Source organism: Homo sapiens, chromosome 18 (genome assembly GCF_000001405.40).
Source record: "Homo sapiens chromosome 18, GRCh38.p14 Primary Assembly".
Lineage (NCBI taxonomy): Eukaryota > Metazoa > Chordata > Mammalia > Primates > Hominidae > Homo > Homo sapiens.
This window is the reverse complement of record NC_000018.10, coordinates 26,829,417-26,841,646: the sequence shown is the minus strand read 5'-3', so window position 1 is coordinate 26,841,646 and position 12,230 is coordinate 26,829,417. Positions and strand designations below refer to the sequence as shown.

The following is a 12,230-nucleotide window of genomic DNA, read 5'->3' as shown; positions in this document are numbered from 1 at the left end:
GCCATTTATCTTTCTAATCCTGGATCCTCTCTCTCTCTCTCTCTCTAGTGCATTGAAATTTAATAATGATATGTCTTGGGTCTATTTTTATTCATTTATTTTGCTAGGCATTCAGTGAGCTTGTCAATATAGAACTCAAATCCTTTAATTCTGAGATATTTACTTGAATTGATCCTTACATCCTACTTTGCATTTTATCTACCTCTCTTCTTCAGCTCCTGTTATTCCGATATTGGGCTTCCTGCACTCTGTTAGACGCTTTACTCAGACATCTGATTATCCTTGGCTGTCTGCTCACGTTTAAGTGGCGTTGTGGGGGGACCAAATCCTTCAAGCGTAAGTGTGTGTAGAACTTATGAACTGTGAACTTTAGGGTAATTGATTGGGCAGTTTCCCCAGCCATCAAAGTGGGGAAGCCTTGATGTCAATATTTGCAGGTCTTTGTTCGTGGGCTGGTCAGATTCCTCAGAGAAAGCTCTACTGCCCCCTGCATGGAAGGTGAAGACCTGGCTGCTGGACCTCTGGAAGCTGAATGTGGGAAGGAGGCTAGGAGATGCTCTCAACATCCAGTTTTGTATACGTGCATTTTATCTCCTAATTTTTTTATGGTATCTCCATCTTTAACTGAGTCCACTGTCTCTAGAAAAAATAAATCCACCTTCTCCTGCCAGGGTTGGGAAGATCTTTTGCATGGCTTTATGAAGCTGGCAAGGTGATCTGGGAATCTGAGTACTTCAAGAGCTTTCCGTCAATCCTCCTCATGTTAGTCCTTCTAAGTAGCCCACGTTTGGAAGTGCCACGTGCTACTTATTTCTGAGCTGTCAATCCTGAGGAGTAAAGTGTGTTGGATTTCATCTTTCTCTACTTTAGCTTAGACTTCCATTCTCTCTGGTCCTTCACTACTCACCCACCTACTTTCCAGGTTACAAAACTTTGCAGCTATTGCCTCCTTTTTTGTTGTTCTTATCCTTTAGGGATTAAGACTTTTTTTTTTTTTTTTTTTTTTTTTTTTGAGACGGAGTCTCGCTCTGTCGCCCAGGCTGGAGTGCGGTGGCGGGATCTCGGCTCACTGCAAGCTCCACCTCCCGGGTTCACGCCATTCTCCTGCCTCAGCCTCCCAAGTAGCTGGGACTACAGGCGCCCGCCACCACGCCCGGCTAATTTTTTTTTTGTATTTTTAGTAGAGACGGGGTTTCACCGTTTTAGCCGGGATGGTCTCGATCTCCTGACCTCGTGATCCGCCCGCCTCGGCCTCCCAAAGTGCTGGGATTACAGGCGTGAGCCACCGCTCCCGGCCAAGACTTTTTAAAAAATCACCATATAGTTGTTTTGTGGAGACCTTGGGAGGGAGTGAAAGTGTTTAACTTGCCAACCTTGCACAGAAATCCTCTCATCGCTTCTGCTCTTGGAATAATGTTACTTCCTCTGAGAAACCCCCGAATCTAGGAAAAATGCCTCTGCAACATGCCCCCTGTTAAAACCTTGTGTTCCTCCCACAAATATGTGGATGTGGATGTGGCTGGGACAAAAACACAGATTTATATTTGTCTATTTGTGTCCCTGTAAACTTTTGTTCAGTGATGATAATCTCCTCCATCTCTGTAAGGAAAGTTGGTGGATCCCCACAATTTTCTGCTTACATGAAAAAGAGAGTCCTATGATCACATTAATTCACAAAACTTGATTCACTAACTGGAATGTGTTCTCCCCAAAATATTAAGCAACTCCTCAATATTCCTTCAAAGTTAATTCTTCCTCTCTCTCTTGCTTAGGCCTACATTTGGCAGCTGCCTGCTGCCAGAGAGGGGTGTGACCAGCTTCTGCTCTCTCCCTACTCTTTCACGCTGGACAGCAGCTCATTCAGCTATGGACAAGAAGGGAAGGAAGCAAACAGTTGACCGATTTAGCAAATAAAAATAGTGGTTAGGTGGCTTTGAGCTATCTGGGTCAAGCAACTTATTAGAGCTGAACTCTTACCCTCATGAGTTGGTGTTCTGTTTTCAATTTTTTGGAATTCTCATCCTTAGGGACTCTCTTTACCTGCAATTCTCAAGATGAGAAGGGGAGGGGATGCATTGATCTTTAAGTCCTACCATCAGCCCTCTCCCTTTGCTCCACAGCAGGAATTAGGATGGTTCCAGTTTGGCCCTTTCTTCCATGAAAAACACTCACATGTCTTCTGATAAACTCTAGGCACGCAGGCTGATCCCTGTGCAGCATCAAAGCAGTGTATCATCCTTTCTGTCACCTTCTGGATTTCCAAAGGAAGAGTGAGACCCCAGTGCAAGCTTCCCCCCATTCCTAAAACACACAGAGCTCTCCAAGTGAACCTATTAAAGGATTGAGGGAAAGAATGTGGTGCTCTCCTCCCACCCTACCCCTTCAGATAGAAAATTAGAGGCTTCTAAACATCATTTCCTCCAAGAAAATCTTCCTCAAATCCTTCTTTCTGCTCTGCAAGCTTGTACAACCTTCATCTGGATGAGGGGTCCAAACTTTAATGCACTAGTCCTAGTGCATTCATTACCTTATAAATCCTGTGTCACAGGGAACTTATTTCACATTGACTTTGGTTTCCCATGTCCATTATGTCAATGTCTTGATCAAAACACAGACAGAAAGAGTTCATTTTCAAAATTCTTTTTTATTTCATTGCTTGTTGTCTCCACCTGCTAGTCTATAAAACTCATTAAGCATAAGGACTCGTAAGAGCATCTGTACAATCCAGCATGTGCATAGCACATAGATGGCAATCTATAAATATATATTGATTGAAGACTGAATGAATGAATGAGTTGGTCTTTACTGGTTTTCCCCAATGGGCTGTTATGCAACAAATGGTCAATTACTTCTCTGTTCCCTGCCCAATAGAGGTATGAATTTTGTCTTCAATTTGCAGATGTAAATTAAACAGAAAAAAGAGAAATGCTAAGTCTTGAGGTGAGTTATTAATGAAGGTCTTTAAAATACCTTTTTCAAAAGATTTTAACATGGAATCAATATTCTTCTATTTCAAGTAGTTCAGGTGTTGCCCTGAGTAGAGGGTCAAATGAAATACCGAACTGCTGAGATTGTCCAACATCACAATGCCATAAAAATACAATTTTGTCTCATTTCTAAAAAGAAATTGTGGCCGAGTGCAGTGGTTCACGCCTGTAATCCCATCACTTTGGGAGGCCGAGGCAGGCAGATCACGAGGTCAGGAGATCAAGACCATCCTGGCTAACACGATGAAACCCCGTCTCTACTAAAAATACAAAAAATTAGCCGGGCGTGGTGGCGGGCGCCTGTAGTCCCAGCTACTTGGGAGGCTGAGGCAGGAGAATGGCGTGAACCCAGGAGGCAGAGCTTGCAGTGAGCTGAGATCGCGCCACTGCACCCCAGCCTGGGCAACAGAGCGAGACTCCGTCTCAAAACAAAAAGAAATTGAAACTCAATTAACATAAAATTAAGTTGGTCAGGACTCTTATTGCTCACACCAAGTGAAACATGAAAACTAAACAAATTGTATCCTATTCTAAAATTTTATGATGCTATGATATGAATAGTGGAAAATAATTTGAACTTTTCAAATACTTCCAGCAAAATTTTGCAATTTCTAGTTAGCATTTGATACATAATTTATATTAGAATTTCCATAATAAATGGTTCCCACCAGAATACTGAATTTGCTTTTAGTTATTCAAAAAGGAGTGAAACAGTCTATACAGGATCATAGGGAAAATTTTGGATCACATAAAGTTTACCTGAAGTAAATATCACCTAAAATGTGTTTTCTTTCTATTATTTGGAATTCATGCATTTATTATATGTGTCCCCGCCTACTTCCTAAAAGGATTTGAGGTAGATTTCAAGTTTTAAAAAAGATATCTGGGTACACAGGATGAAGATAAGAAATAACAAAGAATATAGACAGAAGGATGATACAGAGTCAGAGATGAGATATTTGCTGCACTTCAGCACTAAATTTAGCTCTAAAATTTCTGATAATAAGTCAAAAGAAGAAATGTAGTGGCCTATAGTAAATCTACCATAAACTAAAAAATACATATACCAGCTCTTCAAGAGTTACTATTTTAGTTTTTCTACCAAATTCCAGGAAGAATTTGTCCCATAAGTCCTTATAAAATAATAGCTAACATATATTGAATATCGACTATGTGCCAAATACTCTCCTAAACTCTTCATATGTATTAGTAATTTAATCCTCATAACAGCACTGTAAGGTAGATTATTATGCCTGCTTTACAGGTTAGAAAACAAAGGCACAGAGAAATAAGTCACCCGTGGTTACAGCTAAAACGAAGCAGCAATAACCTGGGCCCAGGCAACCTACTTCCAAACTCCTGCTCCAAATTGCCACACTGTGCATAAAATCCTTTTCAGTGGCTCCACAGATGACCTAGAAGGTCTCCATTTCTTAAATCAACACTCAGAGCCAAGGGCATAATATTGAACCTAAAGCATTTTCACCATAAAAACTTAGCTAATAGAACTATTGGAACTTAGCTAACGACACACAAATTGTTCATTACTCAGTCCACTATAGGACTAGAGAACAGCATACCTAAAGGAATAAGAATAATTATTTAACTCAACATTTATTGAATGCTGACTATATAGCAGGCACTGTGCCAAATAGCTTAGATGCATTATACAATGCAGCCCTCAATCAAGCTTACAAAGGAAGTATCTATTTACCTATTCACTCAAAAATATTGACCGCATACCTTCTTTTTTTTTTTTTTTTTTTTTTGAGACGGAGTCTCACTCTTGTCACCCAGGCTGGAGTGCAGTGGTGCAATCTTGGCTCACTGCAGCCTCCGCCTCCCAGGCTCAAGCAATTCTCCTGCCTCAGCCTCCTGAGTAGCTGGGATTACAGGTGTCCGCCACCACGCCCGGCTAATTTTTGTACTTTTAGTAGAGACGGGGTTTCACCATGTTTGGCCAGGCTGTTCTCGAACTCCTGACCTCAGGTGATCTGCCTGCCTCGGCCTCCCAAAGTGCTGGGATTACAGGCATGAGCCACCGCACCTGGCCAATCACATACCTTCTATGTGACAAATACTATGCTAAACTGGGCCACAGTGGTGAACAAAACTGGAGCCAATCATGATCTCAAAAGACACAATTATGAACACCATAGTTCCAAGTGTTGAAGTCCTGAAAATATTATCATGGAAAAATAATTTTAAAAATTATTTTAAAGATATTTACTTAACATTTTTAAAAGTGACTTTATTTGAGAAACATAAAAACATGACAATACTTCATAGGCCACTCTACACAATAAAATAGGCAATAATAACATAATATGTTTGCAAGCATAAACATTCAGGTATACTAATGATAGTCACATGGGTATAACAGTTATAAGCAGATAAACCACATTCATAAAGAAATAGATAAGTGAAATACACACATGCATACCATGTTAAAATCAAAAGATTTTAACATGGAATCAATATTCTTCTATTTCAAGTATTTTAAAGACCTTCACTATGATAATTGTGTGCACTCAGCTTTATAACTACAGTCAGCTGAAGTACTATGACAGACAACCTAAGTCTTTCGATGAGATCAATCAAAACCTGTGATGGGTCACCACCACATCACCAACACACCATTCACCCAAAGAGCCAAGAGCTCAAGAAATTTTATCTTTCACAAATGCAGATGCACAAAAAGGACACCTCTTCATTTACTGAAGAAGTTTCAATGTTTTTATTTTAGGTACATGCACAATGCTTACAAACAAAGCCAACGCTGTGATAATGCATCTTTGTGGAGTTAAATTTGCAAAAAACAAAAATGCATAAAATGAATGAGAATTCTCTAAAAATCTTTAGACAATTTATAGCTCCAGTATTGGAACGATGCAAAGATTAAATGCATAGCATAGCGAATTGTAAAAAATAATGTGGACAATTTAAAATCGTGGAAAAAAAACTTGAAAAAAGATAAAAGCTAGAAATTAACACCTATAAAAAGTGTATTACAGGGATAAATTATGGGCAATTGCACAGAGTTAGTCTACAAAAGCCGGCCGACTTTCACAATCATTGACTATATTTTGAAGTCTTGCATTTAGGTCTGATGGGTTTTTTGGGGAGTTTTTTTTGTTTGTTTGTTTGTTTTTCTTTTAGGACATGGCTGTCTTCAGTGAATACATTCACATTCATTTTCTCCGTGGCTCTGCCCTTTCTGGAATTCTTCTATAATTTTATATACATTGACATCAGCATTCCTATTAAATTTTCCCATCTTCTGTGCTCTGCCTCTCTGTTGTTTTGGGTATGCAGAAATCCATTTTACATGCACTCATATACAGACAAATGTGTTGGAAACAATACCGTGATCCAACAGCAACACCGTTGCCTAAGTGTCTTCTTATCTTACTGTGCATATAATTATTTCCTAGCCAGTCAGTAACTTCTCTGGCTTCTTCAGCCAAATGTGGCTTTAATTTATTAAAAGTTCCTGCAATGTCATCAGGCGGAAGAAATGCCAATACTCAAAGATGACAAATTTTTAAACTAAAGTTTTTGTCCTTGCCATATCATATAACCAATCTATTCACTTGAATTTTCCACCAAATGCATTGAGCTGAGTGGGAAAGACAAACTTTATTTTTAACAACTAGAAATTCACTTTTAGTAGCTTTGAGCACACCTAATTCCAAATCTGTGATTATGGTTTGGAAATTCTATTGAAATTCATTTTCTTCTGCATAAAGACAGTAACAAGGTAATAGTTCCACCCAACATGTGACTGTGATTTTCAGGATTTTTAGACATTAGGGATTTTAGACTTCTGGGAGTTTGGTCTTTCAGAATTTCAACATTCGGGATTTTGGCTTTCAGGATTGTGTCTTTTGGAATTATGATCCAAACCCAAACAAAAAAGGGTAGTGCTGGAGGCACGCATAAATTAATCACAGATACACACAGAACTAAAATAGAGATGCTGTGAAGAAAAGGCACAATGTGTTATGATATCATTTTCATTATCATCTTGAAGGAGCATTTGAAATGCTATCTGAGAGCCAGGCGCAGTGGCTCACGCCTGTAATCCCAGAACTTTGGGAGGCTGAGGCGGGTGGATCACAAGGTCAAGAGATCGAGACCATCCTGGCTAACATGGTGAGACTCCGTCTCTACTAAAAATACAAAAAAATTAGCCGAGTGTGTTGGAGGGTGCCTGTAGTCCCAGCTACTTGGGAGGCTGAGGCAGGAGAATGGTGTGAACCTGGTAGGCGGAGCTTGCAGTGAGCCGAGATCATGCCACTGTACTCACTCTGCCTGGGCGACAGAGTGAGACTCCATCTCAAAAACATAATAATAATAAAATAAAAAATAAATGAAATGCTATCTGAAATGCTATTTGAAGGGACATTTGAAATGCTGTGTGGGAGGTAAGTAGGTGAAGAGAGAGGAGGAAAAGGCTCTGGGACCTGAAGAAGCATGAAAAAACCCAGAGAGAACAAGAGCAACAGTGAAAAACCGAGGCAGAGATTAACTTGCCCAGCATCAAGAACTATTAAGGGAGAACGCCTGGATTCAAGTCCAGATGTCCAACACATCCAAGTTCATGCTATTAACCGTCACACTACGGTGCCTCCAATGCCCAAGGGTGTCTCTCTTATATAACCTTTGAGAGCCTAATGGCAGTCAGCTCAAAACAGAGTTTTTGAATAGCACTGGATGTGTACTTTGAAGGTGTTCTTTGGGTATTTGAAAAAGATCTCTCCATTGGGGTTGCATCATTCTTTCACTTAATTTTCACTAATTCAATTACATGCATAGGCACTAAAATTTTTTTTAATGTATAGTTAACAGTAAAAATGGCTTCACCTAGCATTCCACGCTAAGTATGAATGTCTTAGAATGAAAGTGAAATGGGCAACGTGAATCACTCATCCTGTCAGTTTTACCCCAGCCAGCCTCTCCTGGGGAGAGCCTCTCATTGAGAGATCCAGGGCTCTGGGGGTTCTGGACACACATTCTGCAACATTTTCCTTAACCATAAACTGCATTTCCAGAACAAGCACTGTCCTTTCCACCTCCGCGCCCAAGTGCAGGCCTCTGTGCCCTCTACCTGGGCGGCGCCTCCACCCCACTTTGGCCAAGCAGATTCTCTGAACTTCTACCCGAGGGCTGCTTTTCCTCATCGCTGTTCATGCTGTGTCTTTATCGGTCTGCACAAACTTGCTGGGTTACACGTTTGTTCCCACACTAGACCTTGAGTTCCTCAAGGGCACAAATAACACTCTAGAAGTGTGTCTTCCTAACACCCAGCAGATAGCAGGTCTTCAATAAATGTCTGTGAATTGGTGAGAGAAAAGGTACTTACATTGATAATCTGTTTATCCAGGGGATTCATGGCCTTTGTGTGGGCCAGGGAGAGACTCTGAGTACACCGGGCATGTTGACAATGAGCTTTCTTTTCCTATCCAGAAAAGATTCCAGTGTTGAAAGGAATTGCTTGTCTGTTAACAAGCCTCTGGTCAAAAGGCTCACAGGCCAAATTCTAGACTCTGGTTAGAGCCTGAAAGCCTGCACCCACCAGTGTGCTTCCCATGTAGGGGATGGGCACACACAAGGGACTGCACCGCCTCACCAACCACAGCAATTCCCAGGCTGCAGTGTGGGAGGGGCAGGCACCAGAAATGGCAAGGCATTGCCTGAGACCCCAGAACAAACATTTTGGAGTTTGCTAAGAATGGGCACTCTGGCCAAGTGTGGTGGCTCACACCAGTAGTCCCAGCACTTTGGGAGGCCAAGGCAGGAGGCTCACTTGAGCCCAGGAGTTTCATACCAGCCTGGGCACATATCAAGACCCTGTCTCTACAAAAAAAAAAAAAAAAAATTTAATAAGCTGGGTGTGGTGGCACGTGCCTGTAGTTCCAGCTACTTGGAAGGCTGAGGTAGGAGAATCACTTCAGCCCAGGGGTTTGAGGCTGCAGTAAGCCATGTTCGCACCACTGCATTCTAGCCTGGGTGGCATAGCAAGACTCTGTCTCAAAATATATATATAGAGAGAGAGTACACTTTTTGATGAATTTTATGCTTAAGGAGATCTGCATTCTGATCTTTTAGAAGTCAAGGTTAAAAACAACACACTGGGGTGGCGGCGGCAGCGAGGACAGCGGTCGGCAGGGTGCCTTTGTCGCATTCCCTGAGAGAAGCGGTGTCTGTGAGGTGGTGTCCATCATGTTCTCTTTCAACATGTTCAACCACCTAATTCCCAGGGTCTTCCAAAACCGCTTCTCCACACACTACCGCTGCTTCTCTGTGTCCACGCTAGCAGGGCCTAATGACAAGTCAGATGTGGAGAAAGGAGGGAAGATAATTATGCTGCCCTCAGCCCTGGACCAACTCAGCCAACTTAACATTACCTATCCCATGCTGTTCAAACTGACCAGTAAGAATTTGGACCGCATGACGCACTGTGGCGTGCTGGAGTTTGTGGCTGATGAGGGCATCTGCTACCTCCCACACTGGATGATGCAGAACTTGCTCTTGGAAGAAGGCAGCCTGGTCTAGGTGGAGAGTGTCAACCTTCAAGTGGCCACCTACTCCAAATTCCAGCCTCAGAGCCCTGACATCCTGGACATCACTAACCCCAAAGCTGTATTAGACAACGCACTTAGGAACTTTGCCTGTCTGACCACCGGGAATGTGACTGCCATCAACTGTAATGAAAAGATCTATGAACTCGAACTGCGTGTGATGGAAACCAAACCCAACAAGGCAGTGTCCATCACTGAGTGTGACACAAACGTGGACTCTGATGCTCCCCTGGGCTACAAAGAACCCGAAAGACAAGTCCAGCACGAGGAGTTGACAGAAGGTGAAGCCGACCACAGTGGCTATGCTGGAGAGCTGGGCTTCCGTGCCTTCTCCGGCTCTGGCAACAGACTGGATGGAAAGAAAGAAAGCCCCTCCCCAATCAAGCCTGGAGACATTAAAAGAGGAATTCCCAATCATGAATTTAAACTTGGTAAGACACCTTTCATCAGAAATGCATGTCCCCTTGTCAAAAAGTTTGAAGAGGATGAAGCTGGAGGCAGATTCGTTGCTTTCTCTGGAGAAGGACAGTCGTTGAGTAAAAAGGGAAGAAAGCCCTAAGTGAGGACTGTTGGCTGATTGGAAAATAATAAAAGAATTAATTGCAACATCTTGGCTTTTAGTTACTGGCACTGAAGGGAGGAGCCTCATCAGAGAATACCCTGTTACTCAAGATTTCTTTAGAGGTACCTAAGAATTATCAACTTTGACTTGGAAGTGGAGCAGCAGGACTTTGTAGTTGTATGCTTGATTTGGGGAAAGACAAAGATCTGTCCCTGAGGACCTGGAGGCAATTGCCTCCTCACCTCCTCATGCTTTCAGCTTGAGTGGGGCTCCCATTGCCTCAGCAGGAGCAATTCTGAGTCCCTAATTATGTCAAAACCAATGAAGGTGACTGAATTGTCTAACATGAAGTGTTCTTTCTCTTCCTTCCTTTATCCTTTCTTTTCCTAGGTCAATTGCATAGGTGTCAGTCTTTGGCCTAAAAAAAGGGTTTAAATAGACATGTGTTCTATAAGTAGTGGCTGTCCCACTACTGTGGCTGCAATTTAAGTATTTGACAAAGAGTGTTTCTATTTTTATTTTACATATTTTTTTCAAAAGCACCACTCCTCAGAAGAACCTGATCTCAATGAGTTTGCACTTTTATTCTCATTTCACATGGACATAATTGGCTCCTTAGTGAACCTGTTCATAGTAAAACAATTCCATGGAGAAGCAAACATGTGAATGTTAGAATGAACAAATGCTAAAGAGATGTTCCTCTTTTTCCTTCTGCCCTACTCCTCCACTCCCAATTTTAATTTATTAAATTATCCAAGCTTCAAAAAAAGAAAAAAAAAACCACACTGAGAGCTGAACTAACCTGTTACCAAGAGAAAGAGAAAAGGAAAATAACTTAAGCATTTAAATTCTTTCTTCTCTCAATGGACCAAGACATGGAGGGAATAATGCAATCTTTTCTAGCAACTGAAAGACAAAGATGGTGAGAGGTGGATCCTGGCCCTGGGGCAGGAGGAAATGTGACCGAAAATCTAGGCTGGGAGTGATATTTGTATTTGATTCAGCTACAAACTTTGCTGCTGCTGAGTTAGAATCAAGGAGCTGACTAGGCCTCAAGCCCCATGATCCCTTGAAGCTTCTCCGAATGTAAAGGACACTCCAACCTGGCTGGGCATCAGCAAGGACCACATCACAGAGGGGAGGAGAAAGGCTGGAACCAGGCTGGGTGTGGTAGCTCACGCCTGTAATCCCAGCTCTTTGGGGGGCAGAGACGGACGGATCACCTGAGGTCAGGAGTTCGAGACCAGCCTGGCAAATGTGGTGAAACCCCGTCTCTACTAAAAAAAAAAAAAAAAATTAGCTGGGTGTGGTGGTGCACACCTGTAATCCTAGCAACCCAGGAGGCTGAGGCAGGAGAATCACTGGAACCCGGGAGGCAGAGGTTGCAGTGAGCCGAGATCATGCCACTGTACTGCAGCCCAGGTGACAGAGAGAAACCCCATATCAAAAAACAAACAAAAAAATAGACTGGAACCAAACAGGAAACTTCCTGCCCAAGATCCTCCTGGGCAGAACAGGCAACCCCAAAGCAGCAGTGGTTGTCTACCCCATGTGGTTTAGGCGCATCTCTCCCACGTGGTTTAGGTGTGTCTCTTCCGCATGGTTTAGGCACGTCTCTCTCGCATGGTTTAGGTTTGTCTCCCCCACGTGGTTTAGGTGTGTCTCTCCCACATGGTTTAGGTGTGCCTCCCCCGCGTAGTTTAGGTCTGTCTCTCCCGCATGGTTTAGGTCTGTCTCTCCCGCGTAGTTTAGGTGTGTCTCTCCCGCGTGGTTTAGGTGTGTCTCTCCCGCGTGGTTTAGGTCTGTCTCTCCCGCGTGGTTTAGGTCTGTCTCTCCTGCATAGTTTAGGTGTGTCTCTCCCACATGGTTCAGGTCTGTCTCCCCTGTGTGGTGTGTCTACCCCATGTAGTTTAGGCGCGTCTGTCCCGTGTGGTTTAGGTGTGTCTCTCCCACTTGGTTTAGGCGTGTCTCCCTGCATGGTTTAGGTCTGTCTCTCCCGCGTGGTTTAGGTGTGTCTTTCCCATGTGGTTCAGGTCTGTCTCCCCTGCGTGGTATGTCTACCCCACGTGGTTTAGGTGTGTCTCTCCCACATGGTTT

General features: G+C 42.7%; 1 pseudogene; it reads left to right on the top strand.

Annotated features, from left to right (window-relative positions):
• Window positions 9,126-10,895, top strand: UFD1P1 (UFD1 pseudogene 1; annotated as a pseudogene).